This window comes from Homo sapiens, chromosome 16, assembly GCF_000001405.40.
Source record: "Homo sapiens chromosome 16, GRCh38.p14 Primary Assembly".
Classification (NCBI taxonomy): domain Eukaryota; kingdom Metazoa; phylum Chordata; class Mammalia; order Primates; family Hominidae; genus Homo; species Homo sapiens.
The window spans coordinates 71,365,712-71,383,947 of NC_000016.10; the positions used below are offsets into that span (position 1 = coordinate 71,365,712).

General features: G+C 48.4%; 1 protein-coding gene and 1 long non-coding RNA gene across 4 annotated transcripts in view, besides 1 other annotated feature; one reads left to right on the forward strand and one right to left on the reverse strand.

Annotated features, from left to right (window-relative positions):
* Window positions 1-18,236, forward strand: part of CALB2 (calbindin 2) — a 31,711-nt gene that overhangs the window by 6,989 nt on the left and 6,486 nt on the right. For all 3 annotated transcript variants that reach the window (NR_027910.3, NM_001740.5, NM_007088.4), the window contains exons 2-6: window positions 6,442-6,518; window positions 9,034-9,123; window positions 11,956-12,036; window positions 17,008-17,064; window positions 17,656-17,733. Coding sequence is in view for 2 of the 3 variants with exons in the window: in NM_001740.5 (NP_001731.2) it covers window positions 6,442-6,518; window positions 9,034-9,123; window positions 11,956-12,036; window positions 17,008-17,064; window positions 17,656-17,733 (383 nt within the window). In the remaining variant the exon portion in view is untranslated. The remainder of the gene's footprint in view (window positions 1-6,441; window positions 6,519-9,033; window positions 9,124-11,955; window positions 12,037-17,007; window positions 17,065-17,655; window positions 17,734-18,236) is intronic.
* On the reverse strand, window positions 1,538-18,122 carry LOC105371332 (uncharacterized). Its single transcript, XR_933714.3, has 5 exons — window positions 17,899-18,122; window positions 11,271-11,423; window positions 8,791-8,871; window positions 3,128-3,206; window positions 1,538-1,648 (listed from the first exon to the last, which is right to left on the reverse strand). It is a non-coding gene; the product is annotated as an uncharacterized LOC105371332 (long non-coding RNA).
* Window positions 1,635-1,929: an enhancer, noted in NCBI's record as "tiled region #5468; K562 Activating DNase matched - State 12:CtcfO". NCBI's record gives its function as "activates a minimal TATA promoter and a strong SV40 promoter by Sharpr-MPRA in K562 cells {active_cell/tissue: K562}" and the evidence as "EXISTENCE:reporter gene assay evidence [ECO:0000049][PMID:27701403]".

The window sequence follows — 18,236 nt, forward strand, 5'->3', positions numbered from 1 at the left end:
TATGCTCCAATCCTACTGAATTAGGATCTCCACTTTAATAAGTGGAGATTATTACGGTACTTTTTATGTACCCTAAAGTTTGAGACATGCTGCTCTGAAGCGGTTCCAAGCCTTTACTGTTCTGAGCTTTAGAATCACCTGCAGAGCTTTGAAAACACCCCCTTCCCCCCATCCATTAAATCAGAAATTCTGGGGATGGGGCCAAGGCAACAATGTTGTTTTCAGATATTCCCAGGTGATCCTAATACACAGCCTCAACTGAGAACCAGTATTCTTTTTTCTTTCTTTCTTTGTTTTCTTCCCTCTCTCTCTCTTTTTTTTTTTTTTTTTTTTGAGATGGAGTCTCACTCTGTCACCCAGGCTGGAGTGCAGTGGCAGGATCTTGGCTCACTGCAAGCTCCACCTCCCAGGTTCACGCCATTCTCCTGCCTCAGCCTCCCAAGTAGATGGGACTACGTGTGCCCGCTACCACGCCCGGCTAATTTTTTGTATTTTTAGTAGAGACGGGATTTCACCGTGTTAGCCAGGATGGTCTCAATCTCCTGATCTGTGATCCACCCACCTCAGCCTCCCAAAGTGCTGGGATTACAGGCGTGAGCCACAGTGCCTGGCCTTTTTTTTTTTTTTTTTTTTGAGAGAGAGAGAGTCTCGCCTTGTCACCCAGGCTGGAGTACAGTGGCACAATCTCACCTCACTGCAACCTCCGCCTCCTGGGTTCAAGCAATTCTCGTGCCTCAGCCTCCCAAGTAGCTGGGACTACAGGCACACACCACCACACCCAGCTGATTTTTGTATTTTTAGTAGAGATGGGGTTTCACCATGTTGGCCAGGCTGGTCTTGAACTCCTGGCCTCAAGCAGTCCACCTACCTCAGCCTCCCAAAGTGCTGGGATTACAGGCGTGAGCCACCACACCTGGCTTGAGAACCAGTATTCTAAGGAAAGCAGTGGTGCTGGAACTCTTCAGGCTAACGGGTTTTCATCTATAAATTGATTTAGAGGAACTTAAGAGGAGGGAGTATAAATGGAAGGCAATATTTGTTCCTTCCATTTATGTGAGATTTTACATCTTTCAGAATGCTTCCACAACATTACCTTGTACAGCTCTCACCATAACTCTGTAAAGTAGAGAGGGCATAAATAGTTATGCCCATTTTAGAGATAAAGAAACTGAGGCTCAGAGAGATTGACTTGCCCAACATCACATGGACAGTCATAGAGCAGGCGGTAGAATTATTAATATTATACCTCTTACTCAGGTACCTCTTACCTGTTCAACTCCTAGAAAATCTGAATGTACAAGGCTCAGGGAGAACAAGGTCTCCCTGAGGTCTCTTTTCACTGAGGGGTGAAGCCTCCTCTAGGCATGGCTTCCCAAGTGTCCGTGGTCAGATGAAAGGTAAAGAAGTATTGTCTCACTTTAAATTGGGGGAAACTGAGGCACGGTAGTGGTGCGGAATGGTAGCAAGAGTAGAATAAGGAAGGATGCAGGGTCTCTGGCTCTCACTTCGGCTCTGCTCCCTCATGTTCACAGGATGTGGTTTGATAAGAAGTTAGAAGTGATGGTTGCCATGGTAACCACGTCTTTATCGATGTCTTTATCGATGCCCATCCGCATGAGCCTTGCTTGGTGACCAGTCACCCCACCCGCTGCAAGAGGGTCATAGAAACATCAGACCATTCACTCAGTGCCGATGTCATCCTAGAAGGGTGTGCACCAGCCCCTCCTCTACCCCAGCCTCTAGTGATAAGGGCTTCCTGCAGATGGATGGGGAGTTGCTTTGAGGGAAGCCAGAGCAGCGAAGGCCATTTGCCATCCACAATCGAGGGCTGGGTGTGGAGTGTCCCTTCTGGGCCCTGCAGCGCCACCTGCCGATCTCTCCTGTGTTCCTCACTGTCTGCCATCAGCTGCCTGTCTGCCTGCCTCTCCCAGGCTGACCATTGATGCTCTTGGGAAATGGGCCCACATCTAAAACTTGGTGATAGCTCCCTGAGCACCAGGCACAAAGTGGAACAGTGGCTCAGTTCAAAACATCAAGGCTTACTGCATTGAACCACATTTCTGCCTTTTGTTGAGGTGCCCAGAGGGAGGTAGTGGAATTCCTAGTGTGGGGAGGGGGGTTCCTCCTGCCCCGGGAACCTCCTGCTGCCTGTGCTGCACAAGCTGAATTCAGAGAGGCGGCTTCTCTCCACAGGGCTGCCCTTCTAGCTCCTGGACCCCTTTCCCTGCCTCCAGTTTTCCTCCTTCCTTTCTCTGCCCCCTTCCCAGAGGCTGAGGCTTCTTGGGAGGTCTTCCCTGCTCATCCTTTCCAAGAAGCCCTGGAAGTCGATCTCTACTCTATGACACCATCATTCTTTCATTGCTCTCGACACTGGAAACACCATGTTTAAATTCATTTCCTTGCTTATTATCTGTCCCCTGCCCCACCCACACCCCATTACAGCATAAGCCCCACCATGGCAGGACCTAGCTGGCCTTTGCACCTCCAGTGCCTGCACAATGCAGATGCTCAATAAAGGTTCCTCCAATGGTCCAGGCACGGTGGCTCACGCCTGTAATCCCAGCACTTTGGGAGGCCAAGACAGGTGGAGGATTTAAAGACCAGCCTGGGCAACATGGCAAAACCCTGTCTCTACCAAAAACAAACAAACAAAAAATTATTCAGGCATGTGCCCGTCGTCCAAGCTACTTGGGAGGCTGAGGTGGGAGGACGGCTTGAACCCAGGACATTAGGCTGCACTGAGCCGTGATCCAGCCACTGCACTCCAACCTGAGTGACAGAGCAGACCCTGTCTAAAAATAAAATAAAATAAAAATAAAAAAATTCCTCAAATGAATGAATGAGTGAATTAAGCCTGGATCAGGAATTAGGACACTTCCGTTCTGGTCCTCCCTGGCTGTGTGGTCCTGAGCAAGTTGCTTGCCTTCTGTGTCCTGTGCCTCAGTGTCTTCTGTCACCAGAAAAGGATTCTACTCTGCCATGCCCGTGTGTCTGGAAAGATTATGTGTGGGTTCATTTCCCCCACAGCAACCCACACAGGTCTTACCCATAGTGAGGGCTCAAATTATCTGCTGGAGCAAAGAAAGACGGCAAAAGCGCTTTGAAAAGTTAAAGACATTCCACTGACCTTCAGCACTTTCCTGCTGGGCGAGGCACTGGATGATTGTCTGAGTTTCTTGAGGTTGTTAAACCTCCTTCAAACCTTTCTAGAAAAAAAGATGGAGTAAAAATAAATACTTATTCTAAGTTCCAGAAAAACTCCAAGGAAAAGATGGCCCCTAGAGATCTGTACTTTACTTCTTTGGGTTCAGAGCGTTCAGTGGGGCGGGGCTCCGTGCTAGCCTTGCCTGCTCTAGCCTCCCTCTGCTCCCCTAAATCTTTCCAACCTGAAGAAAGCAGCCCAGGGCCAAGGTGTTTGCAGCATGGGCGGGAAGCACAAACAGCAGCCATAATGGCAGTGTCCGCCGGCATGTTTGAGGCTCGCTGCAGGCCAGCGCTGCGAGTGTATTATTATCCTCTTTAATCTTCATGGCAGCTGCATGAGGAGGGTGCTATCATTGTCCCCATTTCACAGGAGAAGAAACTGAGGTTCACAGAGGTGGTGTCCTCTAATCTGGGTACGACAGAGGGAGGAGAAGAACCAGGTGTCGGTGCCTCAGCAAGAAAGGCCAGTCACTCTGCCGCCCCCCAAATGGTAGGTGAAGGGGCCAGAGAAGAAATGGCAGAACATGAAGGACCTGGTGCAAAACAGGGCTCCACAGAGGGATGACGGACCCTGTTCAGAGCTAAGTGGAGGCGGCTCTTGGAAACATACCATGCTGCTCTGCGGGCTTCCCCTACCCAGTTCCTTTCAGCCACCTCCCGATACACTCATGAAACATATACTCGCTCCTGTGTCCGCCCAGCCCTGGCTCCTGTGGCCTCTGCTTCACTGAACCATGACACGCACTCGTGGTGCCAGCTCTGAGCCCCCACCTCCTGCCCTAGCCTCGGGCTTCTGGAAGCTGCAGATGCACCCAGGGCTGAGCTCAGCTTTCCACCTCCCCGTCTGACTCTACAAAGCCTCCGAGAAGAATGTGACTTTGCCTTCTCAGTTGAGAAGAAATTGCACCTCAGTGATAGGAGAATAGCCAGATCGCTGCAGGGAGTAACCAGGAAGAGAAAAATTACTCATTCTTCCAACTCAGAGCATCATCAACTAGACGATGTCTTTTTGCCTAGAAAGCCCATCTCCCTGTCCCTCACTCCCCTACTTTAGCCGGCCTCACAGGAACCACACTCTTCTGAAATTCCAGTTCTCCTAAGAAGCTTTACAAACATCCTAGAAGGAAGATAACCACCCCATCCTAGGATAAAAGGGAACTCAAATCTCATTCTGCGAGCCCATTGCAATCATGTCTTTTCCCTGCAGACAAAAATACATAATTTATCTCATGTGATTCGTGCCATACAATATTTATTGTGGCATATTCTTCACTCGAGAGTGCCTCTAAGTTTATTAAGAATTTAAATTCTCAGGGGGCCCTAGGAGGAGAGGCTGGGAAAAGCCTCCCCCCACAACCCCTCACAGAGGCTGGGGTAAATGCTCCTTTATTTTCTCTGTTGCGTTTGTAATTCCATTTGCCCTTGGTGAAAGCTACCACCTCCCTTCCCATTCGAGTTGAATCTCCTCTACGGGAATCTTGCTCAAGGGCTTTAGATCAAATTTGGAACTTGATGTTAGGTCAGTGGTTTTCAAACTTTGCTGCACAGGAAATCACCTGGGAGTGTTAAAAAAAAAAAAATCATGGTGCTTAGTTCACACCCCAAACAAATTGCATCAGAAAGTCTAGAGGTGGGGGCCAGATATCCATATTTTTTTTAAGATCCCTGGGTGCCAGGTACCTGTAATCCCAGCTACTTGGGAGGCTGAGGCAGGAGGATCACTTGAGCCCAGGATTTTGGGGCGGTAGTATGTTATGATCACACTTATGAATAGTGCTGAACTCTAGCCTGGGCAACACAGCAAGACCCTGTCTCAAAAAAAAGGAAAAATCCCCAGGAGATTCTTTGCCACAGCAAAGTCTAGGAGGCACGGCCTGAGCCCTGCCTGATTTCCCACCCACAAATGCCTCCTTCCCCATCACAGCACTGACCAGTGACCTTGACCATGCATTCAGCTCAGTCCTGGTCTCTAGTAGACCATCCAGGCTCAAGGCGTGAGAGCCTAAAGGACCTCTCACTACTTATGTGATCTCGCAAGTCAGGCTGTGACCTCGGGACCTGGTTCTGATCACTGCACTTTTCCCACAGATTCATTCCCACCTTAGGCACGGGTTCTGGTAATGGAACTCAGTAACAACATTTATGCTGCACTCATAATGACTAGAGGATGGGCTTTCCACACAAAATCCTGTTTAATTATAATAACCCACTTTGCAGATGAGATGGGTTCAATAACTGTCTCAAAGTCACACTGTTGGTAAGCACAGCAGAACCAGTCTTTAAATCTGCATCCACAGGCCTCAGAGCCTCCTCTCTTCATTACCAGGTGGGATGCCTCTCCTACCCTTGATCCCTGTGACCAAGTCTCAGGTAGGGCAGGGGGTGGGAGGTGACATCCCATAGGACAGATGCCCTGTGGTTCTCTCTTTTCTGGGCCCTTCTGTTTTTGTTTCCTAGGACTGTTATAGCAAGGCACTACAAACTGGGTGACTTAACACAACAGAAATGTATTCTCTCACATTTCTAGAGGCTAGAAGTGTGAAATAAATGTGTCGGCAGGCTCTGCTAGAGCTCTGAGGGTGAATCTGCTCCCTGCCTCCCTCCTGGCTTCTAGTGGTTGCTGGCAGCCCACAGCGTTCCTTGGCTTGTACACACATCACACTGGCCTCTGCCTCCATCTTCACATGGTCTTCTTCCTGGGTCTCTGTGTCTCCATGAAGCCTTCTTACAAGGACACCGACCACTGGATTTAGGGCCCACCCCAATCCAGTATGACTCATCTTAACTAATGACATCTGCAATGACCCTGTTTCCAAATAAGGTCCCATTCTGGGGGAGCACTCCAACCCGCTACACCTTCTGAACTCCAGGGACCCCAGTTCTGCCTCTGACCAGGTCCCGCCACTTGCTGATGACCTGTCACACCTCTGCCACCTCGTGCTTGCCCAGACATTAAGGACAGATTCGGAAGCTGCCAACTTCTGCTCTCCTCTGTCCTCTCGGACCCTGTGCTAGTTCCTCCCAGTATTTTCTAGCTGCTGAATGTATGTTGTTCATCTTGGATCTCTAGGTGCAAATGCCCTGAGGGCTGGACCCACACCCCTAGCTCCACTGGCCTAGACACCTGCCTGTTGGCCAGCTGGGAGAAGACATTCTCCACGAAGCCCCCGACATGCCCACCCCGTGCCCCCCTTACTATTTAGTGCTGAGATTGATTTTTTCTCTCTCTTTTTACAGGAAATGGGTATATTGAAGGTAAAGAGCTAGAAAACTTTTTCCAAGAGCTGGAGAAGGCAAGGAAAGGCTCTGGCATGGTAAGCCCAGCCCTGTCTCCGATTGTGTGGGATTTTCCTGACCTATGCCTTTGAGCATGCTGTGTCCCAGTTATGTATGCCATAAGCAGGCCTCATATCGCTGGTCTTGACACAGCATTTTATTTGTAAGGATAAAAAATAGACTGTCCCCTAAGAGTACCCTATCTCAATATCCTTGGGTGTCTGGGATTGAGGGGTATTCATGAGTGGACACCAGGGGTTGATGAATCCTCCTGCAAAGCTGCAAAGCTTTGTCTGCGTATGCGTATATTAATATATATGTAGTATTTTTTTGTCCCTAGGGACAGAGTCCATAGCTTCCCTCAGGTGCTTAGGGGTCATGATTCCAGATTGGATGCCCAGGAGGTTTCAAGTGCCCTGATTCTAGACCAGAGTTTCTCAGCCTCAGCGCTGTTGGCATTTGAGGCTGAATAATTTGTTGCAGGGGCTGCCCTGTGCGCTGTAGGAGACTAGCAGCATCCCGGGATCTACCCATGAGATGCCACTATCATCCTCCTTCAAGCTGTGACCATCAAAAATGTCTCCAAACATTGCCAAATGTCCCCCTGGTGGGAGACTGGGGGCAGAATCGTCCTCAGAAGAGAACCACTGTTCTAGAGCAACACGGGCTAGAATCCCCAGCAAGGAACTAGAGGAAAATTGAGGATTGCTCTCAGCCAGTATCTGAACCAGACGGCACTGGCTGGCCTCATTTGTGGTGGTGTCACGACCTTCTGAGCCTGCCCAAAGTGACTCCAGATCACATCCCAGCCCCTTAGTGACAGGAGTGTTGCTTTCCCTGGTGCCAACGTGGCACTACTGAGTTTGCTAAAGCCTTTTGGGGGAGGTATTTGAAATACTGCAAAGCTCAGGTGATTGGAACTAGTCTGCTGTGATTGCCGTGTCTGGTTCTGGAGTACATGGAGTCAGCCCCACACCCTCCCATCAGCTCCCTCGGGTCCTCTGGAGGCGTCTCTACTCTCCCCTGCTGCGTGTCTGTTGGCCAATCCACTGTTTATTTGCAGCTCTTCAGGGAGCATTTGGGAGATGAGTCACAAATCCACCGGTGAGCTCCTGGTTCAAAGCTTGGCAGAGCGCCCCAATGAGGAGGTCAAAGTGATGGGCTTAAAGGGTTGGAGGCGATTCATGGGTTTGTTTATCAACAGTTGTCCCATCAATTCCTAGGATAATGAAGCCTCGATCACAGAAAGCATGGGCTTCAGGACTGACTCTGGGATCATGGGCTAGTCGGAGAAATGTGTTTTTATGAAGTGCTTTGCATCTAGAATCCTTCTCTTAGTCATTCCCTTCCTCAGATGTCATCCGGGTAATTTTCAAGTCTGTCAACAATCCCAACTGATGCCATCCAGGACTGGTTCTCAGAGCAGCTGTTATATAGTAGAAAGAATATTGGCCTTGGAAGCAAAAGCCATGAGTTCAAATTCTGGCTTTACTTACTGGGTGCCCTCTAGAGAAGTCATCTCGGCCTCCATTAGTGTGTCAAATGGAAGGGCTACTAACTTCACAGGAGCTACTGTACAACTTAAATAAGATGGCCACATTTGTGACAAGTGCCTGGGATCAGACTATGTACCTTTGTAAATATAAATAAATACTGATAAACAAATAAATATTGACAAATTGATACTAATTCCAAAAGTAAAAAGCAATCAGAGGGATTCAGGAAACTCTCAGAAGTGGTAGGATTTCCCTTGGCCCAATCCTGGGGAGCACACAATTCATGTGGAAGTCATCAGCTGAGTGAGGCAGAAACATCAGCCGTGCAAGGTGGGCTCATCATTGATTAGGGAGAAGGAAGAGCTCCTTAATGCAAATAATTAATCAGCACTATCTCAAATCAGGGGAAGGTTCAAGAGCTTCAAGTCTATATTTAAGATAGACAGCTGTGGGCTTGAAGGAATGTTTTAAGTTCTTTGCTTTCTAGTAGTCAGAATAATTGGGTGGACTGTTTAAATTACCCTTCGGCTACATGATGACCTCCTCCTCATGTTCCTCCTGATATGAAAATCAAGAGTGAAAATATTGTGGAATTGCCAGTTAGTCTTTAAAGAAAATGAGCAATCTACCTTGCTGTAATGAAGTGCTTAGAACCTATTAGGGGGCACTGGATTAAGTTCAGTTTGATTACAACCTGCTTCAGTAAAATGTTGAGGCCTTAATTCTCACATCTGAGTGATGGGAACAAGTCCAAACCCTTCCTATAGAGTTGTAGCTTAATCCATCTCAAAGGCAGCAGGGCATGTTTGATTACCTGGTATGGAGCATGGCCACGTGTCCTTTGAAATTTATATGACTGAGCCTTGAAGAAGAGATGACTTAATTTGAAGGGAACCTGGAAAGGAAAACAACACAGCTCTGATCAATCAGAGCATCAGCACAACTTGGTTCTGCACCCACTTACCCAGGATGCAAATGATTTCCAAGCTTCCTGCTCTGAGATCATGGTTCACATGAGATACAGCAGCAAAAATCAGCCCCCTTTGTCTTTCCACAGATGTCAAAGAGTGACAACTTTGGAGAAAAGATGAAGGAGTTCATGCAGAAGTATGATAAAAACTCAGATGGGAAAATCGAGATGGCAGAGGTGAGCCCTGCCTCGCTGGTAAAGAGCTGTGTGGGAGGGGCCCTGGGTCCCTGTGCCTCTCCCAGGCATGAGCATCCTGCTGAGGATTGGAGTGAGGTGGGGGCCTCAAAGCTCCTGCACCCCCAGCACTTGGGCTGACCAAAGAGAACAGCAGGGACTTTTCTTGTGTGTCACCCAAGGAAGAAGGAAGTGACAAACAATGGCCAAAGATAGGGGTGGAGACCTTAAATGCCCACAGGGGCCAACAGGTATTGTAACCAAGTGGCAAGGCCAGCTGAAGACACTAGGGAGGCTGAAGACAGGTGAACAGGAGACTCTATGCCCCACCTAAAGCCATCCAAAGGCATAATTTTTAAAAGTTATATACATAATTTACACACATATATACATTTATAATTCACATCAGTAATTTACATATATATACATAATTTGCATATAACATAATTTACACGTATCCATGTATACATATATACATTCATATATGCACACGTATATACACATACACACATACACTCACACATACTCATATACAGGTGCATGTCAAACACCTCTGGTAATCAGTGACCACAGTCAAGGGCTCAAGAGTGCTGGCCGGACTCCGTGGCCCATGTCTGTAATCCCAGCACTTTGGGAGGCTGAGGCGGAGGATCCTTGAGGTCAGGAGTTTGAGACCAGCCTGGGCAATATAACAAAACCCCATCTTTACAAACCATATAAATAAATAAATAAGAATGATGATGGTGGCACAGGCATTAGGGCACAGCTCCACCCAGGGTATATTGTTGGGATGCTGCCTTAGGTTGGGTGCCTGAGACAGAGATTTGAGTGGAAGTGGCTTACTGAGGCAGAACTCTCCAGAGAAGGGCAGCAGGAAAAGGCAGGGGATAGTGCTGTGCAAGGATGCGGTCTCAACTGGAGCCTCGCCTTGGCTAGGCTTATAGGGACTCTGGAGTGTGGACTGTGCCACAGAGTGGGTCCCACTTTGAGGCAAGGGGGCTGGTCTGTTGTACCCCTGTGTCAATCAGTCAGTGGATGCAGGCTGCCCCTCTTTGGGCAAGGAGGGGACCTGTGGAACTTCCCCAGCGGGGCAGCTCTGGTCTGGCTGAGGGCAGTTCTTGTGCAGGGGCAGGGCTGAGCTGTTAGCAGTCTGACTTCATAGCAGCTGAGGGATGGCCAACAGCCTAGTTATAGAGGAGCAGGGAGAGGCACCAAGAATGGCCACTATAGATGCCCATGCTGATTCAAAGGGGCTTAAACCAAGGGTTGACAGGCTTTTTCTCTAAAAATACAGATTAAGGTAAGTGTGTTAGGGTTTGTGGGCCATCCAGTCTCTGCCACAGCTCTTCAGCTCTGCCACTGTAGCACAAAAGCAGCCACGGGTGGTATGTCAATGAGTGGGTGTGGCCACGTCTTATAAAACTTTACAAACAACTCCTGAGCCATACTTGGCCTGAGGGCCATAGCTTACCATGAGAGGCTTCTAACAGAAAGGCCAGGGTTAGGGTTTGTTCCAGGTGGAAGCCAGGGCTCCCGCTCTGCCTCCCTGCAGTTCTCTTGGTTCTGTTCTCTGCCCTCAAAATACCTTCATCCTCAGGCGGCTAGCAAGATGGCTGCCACAGCGCCAGGCATCACATCCACATACACCCACATGCATCCACATACATCCACATATACCCACATACATCCACATACAACCACATGCATCCACATTCAACCACACACACCCACATACATCTACATGCACCCACATACATCCACATCCAATCACATGTACCCACATCCATCCACATGCACCCACATGCAACCACATGTGCCCACATACAGCCATATACACCCACATACAACCACATACATTCACATACAACCACATGCACCCACATACAACCACATACATCCACATTCAACCACACACACCCCCATACAACCACATATATCTACATGCAACCACATGCACCCACATACACCCACAAACATCCACATACAACCACATGCACCCAAATACAACCATATCCAACTACATACATCCATATACAACCACTGTCCAGCTGCAGAAAGGACCCCTCTTAAGTGCAAGGAAATGTTCCCAGAAGTACCCACAGCAGCCCTTCCCCGACATTGCATTGGGCAAAACTGGGTCACGTGCCTACCTGTAAGCCAATCACTGGCAAGGAGAATGGGAGGCTCACACTTCACCAACGTAGACTCATCAGGATTGGCCTGTGACACAAGAGTTCCAGGAGCAAAAAAGGGGGTAAGGGCGGTTGGGTGGGCAGCCAGCAGTGCTTACTGCAAGAGGGTACCTGCATTTTTCAAAAATCGAATTATTGCAGTATCAATTTACATGCAATAACTGCATCCATTTGAAGTGTAAAATTCCTTGAGTTTAGATTTTAGGCCATGAAATTGCCACCCCAATGGAAATATAGCTTTTCTATTACCCCCTCCAAAAGGTTCCTCTAGCCTGGTGCAGGCCCTCTTACCCCAGGCAACCACCCATCTACTTAGATTAGTTTGCATTTTTCAGAATTTTACATACATGGAATCATCTGTTAAGTATTCTTTTGAGTCTGGGTGCTTGCATTTTAAAGCAGCACCACTTTTTCCCCTCCAATTGCTCATCCCTTAAGGTTGGGACGACTCAAAAGCACTTCTCTGAACATCCTTCTTTCCCTTTGAAGGACTGCCAGCACCCGTTCTCAAGGAAGGAAGGAAGAAAACGCAATTCCCACACTGCCTCGCCACTGGCCCTTTCCATCCTTCTTAGGGGAAAATCTGCTCTGCTCCCTGTCAAGTCCCTCCATAACGTTAGTGTCGCTCTCTGTATCTTCACAGCTGGCGCAGATCCTGCCAACCGAAGAGAACTTCCTTCTGTGCTTCAGGCAGCACGTGGGCTCCAGCGCCGAGTTTATGGAGGTGAGGCCAAGGCACCACCTTCTTTCTAAGCACTGGGACCTGCCTTCCTCCTGTGTTCAGAGCCAGGCCCACCCTCCTGCCTGGTAATGGTCCCTGGGAGATGCTAAACCCCTTAGAGCTCTGCTACTCAAAGTGTGGTCCGTGGACCGGCAGCATCAGTATCACCTGGGTGCCTGTTAGAAAACAGAAAGGGGCCAGGAGTGGTGGCTCACGCCTTGTAACCCCAGCACTTTGGGAGGCCGAGGCAGGCGGATCACCTGAGGTCAGGGGTTCGAGACCAGCCTGGCCAACATGGCAAAACCCCATCTCTACCAAAATACAAAAAAGTTAGCCTGGCGTGGTGGCGGGCACCTGTAATCCCAGCTATTCGGGAAGCTGAGGCAGGAGAATCACTTGAACTCGAGAGGCAGAGGTTGCAGTGAGCCGACATAGCACCACTGCACTCTCAGCTTGGGTGACAGAGAGAGACTCCGTCTCAAAAAAAGAAAGAAAGAAAGGGAGAAAGGCCTGTAATCCCTACTCAAGGAGGCTAAGGCAGGAGGATCTTTTGAGGCCAGGGTTTCAAGACCAGCCTGGGCAACATAGTGAGACCTTGTCTCTACAAAAATAAAAAGCTACCATAGTGAACAGGAATTTAAAAAAAAAAAAAAAGATAAAAAACTTAGTGGGATATGGTGGTGCACACCTGTAGTCCCAGCTTCTCAGGAAGGCTAAGGCAGGAAGATCAGGAGTTTGAGGCTGAAGATCACACCACTGCCCTCCAGGCTGGGCCACAGAGCAAGACCCTATCTCAAATTAAAAACAAAAACAAAAAAAAGGTAGACAGACTCCCTGATCCAGTGACTCAGAAGCTCCATTTTAACAAGATCCCCAGATGATGTGTATGCACATTAAAATGTAGGGAATAAGATGAGAAGTAAGCTTGGGTCAAGTACGCTTGGGAAACACTGTGTACATGCATCTCTCATGTGGGGATTTGTTGTGGTCATTTGCATATCACAGGCTCTGAGAAATCAAGCAATAAAGAAAACCGTGCCACTCAGTTTGGCTCCAGGATCTCATGCCACTCAATAATAATGTTGTGTCTCTCGAAGTCAGAGTTCCAAGAAGCAGGCTAGAGAAGGATGGACTTATGTACGATTCTATAGCTACAAAAGTCCAGTGAGGATTCCAGTTTTTGGTATCTTCCACGTTTCATCTTTGACTATGATAAGGTTTCGGTTTTCCTTTTTAAAATTAGCATTCCTGGCTGGTCACTGTGCCCTATGCCTGTAATCCCAGCACTTTGGGAGGCCAAGGCAGGTGGATCACTTGAGATCAGGAGTTTGAGGCCAGCCTGGGCAACATGGAAAAACCCCATCTTTACTACAGATGCAAAAATTAGCTGGGCATGGTGGTGCATGCCTGTAATCCCAGCTACTCAGGAGGCTGAGGCAGGAGAATCGCTTGAACCAGGCAGGCAGAGGTTGCAGTGAGCCAAGATCGTGCCACTGCACTCCAGCCTGGGCGACAAAGACTCTGTCTAATAAATAAATAAATAAATAAATAAATAAATAAATAAATAAATAAAATTAGCATTCCCCTCTTGGCAATATAATTTCCTTGAGATCTTCATGTAAAATATGATGTTCAAATTCATGTCTCTTGAGTAATATTCATCTGATAAATTGAACCATATGAAATTGCTGATATTTAACGATTTTTTACTTACAAAAAGTGGAAATTCTATGTGGTTCAACCAAATATATTACTAATCCTGATGTCCAGCAAACTACCAATTATTTCTTGCTCTCTTTCTGGGACTCCACACTCTAACCATTCAGCATATGCATCCCTCAGAGTGAAATTCAACCCATACCCACCTCACGAACTGCCTGCTCTGATAAATAATAACTGGCCTTCGACGTGACTCTCTGCCATTCATTGGGGTTAAATCCATTTCCAGCCACCGGTAATCCCCTCTCTGTGATCCACTGCCTGTAACAACTGGAGAGCTGGCCCAGAAGCCTGTGTGGCAGCAAGCTCCCCTCCTGGGCAGACAGTCAGTGAGAAAGAACCAGTTCTCAGGGTGGAACAGTCATTTTTTAAGTGACAGCTTGCCTGAGCATCAGAGATGGATTTAATTTTATGGTGCCTTAAAAGATTTTTCTCCAGTTTTTTCAAGATGGCAAGATTCCACAAGCTGATAATTGACATTCTAGCTTCTGTTCTTAGTCCTTCTCTAGCCTGCCTGGGAGAAAAAAAGTTCTGCGTATCCTTATAACTTGTCAGGGTGTTGCTTTTGTATCAAGTTTTCCAACTATAGAAAAGGGAGCATCATGCCTGACTCCTTTCCTGATAGAGAGACAGCCAAAAATTGGCCTCTATTCCACCTCTGGTCTGGAAACAGGGATGGTGGCACCTTGTAGGGGGGGCAGGGATGCTTACAGAGGAGCTAAAAGCATCTCCCCGGACCCTTTTCTCTTTCTCAAAATCATTAGTGGCTTCTCTCTGTGCAGCTGACAGGATTTCTTTCTTTTCTTTCTTTCTTCTTTCCTTCCTTTTCTTTTTTTTTTTTTTTTTTTTTTTTTTTTTTTTTTTGAGACGGAGTTTCGCTCGTTGCCCAGCCTGGAGTGCAATGGTGCGATCTCAGCTCACTACAACCTCCGCCTCCCGGGTTCAAGCGATTCTCCTGCCTCAGCCTCCCGCCGAGCTCGGATTACAGGCAGGCACCACCACTTCCGGTGAATTTTGTATTTTTAATAGAGACGGGGTTTCTCCATGCTGGTCAGGCTGGTCTCAAACTCCCGACCTCAGGTGGTCTGCCCACCTTGGCCTCCCAAAGTGCTGGGATTACAGGCATGAGCCACCATGCCCAGCCTCAGGATTTCATATTCTTACATGTATTTGTCCTTCTAAGTCCCAGCATAACTGCAGAGGAGACATGCCCGCCACGGTTTCTGGGACCCCACCCTCCCACAGTACTGTCCCACTGTCCCCTCCTGGGGTCTGTTCCATTTGTTCCATTTTTACCAGCCAGAAGCCTGAAATGGTCCCTCAGTAGCCCTGAAAGGCTTGTGCTCTCAGGTAGCTCCCATCCCAGCACTCAGCACAACAACTCCTAATTTTAGTGATGCCTCAGGATTTCTTTGAGATTTCACAAAGCCCAGGTCTCTTGAACTCTTTTCCTTGAATGAGAAGAGAAAGGATGCACTGATGATGATGAGCACAAGTGCTGGATGGGGAGAGGAGGCACGTGGGGGAGCCCAGAGCTGGCATCCTGGCGGGGTGCATGGTCGGAAGTGGACCCGCTGGCAAGATGGCTTGGGAAAGCAGCCGCTGGTGCTTTGCTCTGTGCAGGGACTGGGGTTCCTTCAGGTTATTGCCCTTTTAGGCAACTTGGAGGGGGTGTCTTCCTCTTCTCAGTAAAGACTCAACTTAGACAAACTAAACTGTAATGCACTAAGTGCCTGCGAGTTGTTGGTGAAGTCATATTTGGAAATCCTCACATATATTTTAGTGCCTTTTCAAGGGCAGACTTTCTGGCTATGGGAAGGAGTATTTCAAAGAGTCTAAGGCATTTTTCTGCAGAGAAAAGACACTCTTGTAATCAAATACCATCGACCTAAGTTGCATATAGTACAAATCTACCCTTTTCTTGGGATTTGCTCCTGTCTTGTGACAAAAAAAAAAAAAAAATCAGGACCAAAATTTCTGAGCCCTGTCACCATGAAAATTACATAACATTGTTTGCTGGTGTTTAAAAAGAGACATTTTCCGTAAAATATAACTAAACTCTAAATGTCCATAAACTCTAACACTCCTGACAATAAAGGGGCACATGCAGTGGAGAAGTGGGGGGAGGCAGGGGATAAGATGTAGGAAAAGGATTAGTGGTTGCTGGCTCCCAGAAAATCAAGTGTTGCTGGTCTTCAGGTGTGTAGTTTGGAGCTGGGGGAGAAGCGAAGAAAAGTCAGGAGAACAAAACTTGAAAGAAAATCTAGGAGCCAGGCATGGTGGCTCATGCCTGTAATCCCAGCACTATGGGAGGCTGAGGTAGGAGGATCACTTGAACTCAGGAGTTTGGAGATCAGTCTGGGCAACATAGTGAGACCCCATCTCTACAAAAAAATAAAAAATTAGTTGCGTGTGGTGGTGCACGCCTGTAGTCCGAGGCACTTGGGAGGTTAAGCTGGGAGGATCACTTGAGCTTGGGAGGTAGAGGCTACAGTAAGCTTTGGACGCCACTGCACCACAGCCTGGGTGACAGAGTGAGACCCTGTCTCAAAAGAGGAGGAGGAGGAGGAGGAGGAGGAGTAGGAGGAGGAGGAGAGGGGGAGGGGGAGGGGGAGGAAGAAAGAAAGAGAAAGGAAGGAAGGAAGGGAAGAAAGGAAGAAAAAGGAAGGAAGGAAAGAAGGAAGGAAGGAAAGAAAATAAAGGAAGGAAGGAACGAAAGAAAAAAGAAAAAAAAATTAGAAATATGTGGCGCCAAATAGACCAAAGATATAGCGGAACATGGTTCTCCGGGCATCTTTGCCCCAGATGTGGGCAGTCCCCTCCCCTGCACCACTGCCCCTCCTGTGGCTTTCTCTCTTCTCCACCAGATGATGTGGTAAAAGGCAGGGAAGTCAGAGCAGTTGTATACAGGACCATTGGATGAGTTACTTATTGCTGTATAATAAACTGCCCCTAAAACTTAGCAGCCTGAAGCAACAAACATTGATTACATCCCACTTTCGATGGTCAAGAATTTGGAAACAGCTTAGCTGCGTGGTTCTGGCCCAGGCGCTCATGAGATCACTGTCGAGATACTTCCCTTCATTTCCTTCTCTGTGACCTTGAAGGGTCTGGGCTACATCATCTCCATGTCTCCATCCCATTCCGATATTCTTGAAGATCAAGACCCTGGGTGGCCCATTAAAGGGGAATGGAAGGGAGGTGGGTAGATTTTGATACGTCTTTGCAAAGAGGTTGACATTCCTGTTGTTGCAGGCTTGGCGGAAGTACGACACAGACAGGAGTGGCTACATCGAAGCCAATGAGCTCAAGGTAGGATGGGCCTTGGGGAGGGTGTGAGGCCAGAGTGGCGGTGGGCTTAAGGTGCCTGAGGAGGGAGGAGATGTTGGATGAGGGGCATGAGTTTGCGGGCTGCTTAGGAATACTCAGACCTGGCACTGAATTGTTGGACTTGTTTAGAGAAGTCAGGGGAAATCAGTAACATAGAGCTGCCAGGCTGTAGATTTCAACGAAACCCAGCTCTTCTGCACCTCCATGCTCGGGACAGGAGTCCTCCAGGCAATTCCAGAAGATTGGCCTCTGGCTCCTAGGTCCACCTCCAAATTCCTCTGGCTATCACCCAGTGATTCCCCAGGCACTGCTTAGCTCCGTATACTGGTCTCCCAGGAGGCAGAGCCAATCTCTAGCGCCTATTCTGTGAGGCAGGGTTGCACCACCAGCTAGTACAGCCTTAAAAGTCACTCCCCAAGAGTTAGGAATTATGAGGGCCCTGAGTCATAGAACTGGTAGACCTGAAAAACACACACACACACATTGAGAGACTGTCTGAATGAGCAAGTAAGGAAATGAATGAGGGACCGAATGCACGAGTCAGGAGTACTAAAGAGGCCTTTTGTGTTGCAGGGATTCCTGTCAGACCTGCTGAAGAAGGCGAACCGGCCGTACGATGAGCCCAAGCTCCAGGAATACACCCAAACCATAGTGAGTGAACAGAAGTGTCCCTCTCCCCCAGGGTGCAGGACTTGTGCCCCAAGCCACTTGGGCTCTGGTGTGCAGGGTCCCTTGTTTGCTGATTCTTCAGGCCCAAGGGAAGTGATTCACAGTGGCAGCTGGCAAAAAGGGATGCTACTTCGTGGCTTCACATACCCTTTGAGGTCCTGGGTGTGAGCTGACTCGTGGGCCAATGTGATTGTCTGTCTCCATGGCAACCTCTGCAGCTCTAGGAGAGGATGATCTTGGAGAGAGTGGGCCTTTAGTGCCGGCCTGCTGTGCCTCAGCTGCCCCTGTCCCTGAGGAGGGGAGAGAGGAGCAGTGAACGAGTCCCTGTGGTCCACCCAGGGGACCCCCGTGACTGATTTAGCCCATGTTGGTTCTTGGCCCCTACGGACCTCAGAGGAAGCATGAGCACGTGTCACCCGTCCTCCTTCCCATCCTCTCCAGTAAAAGGGGATGTCAGGTCAGAGAAATTCACAGCAAATAACCCA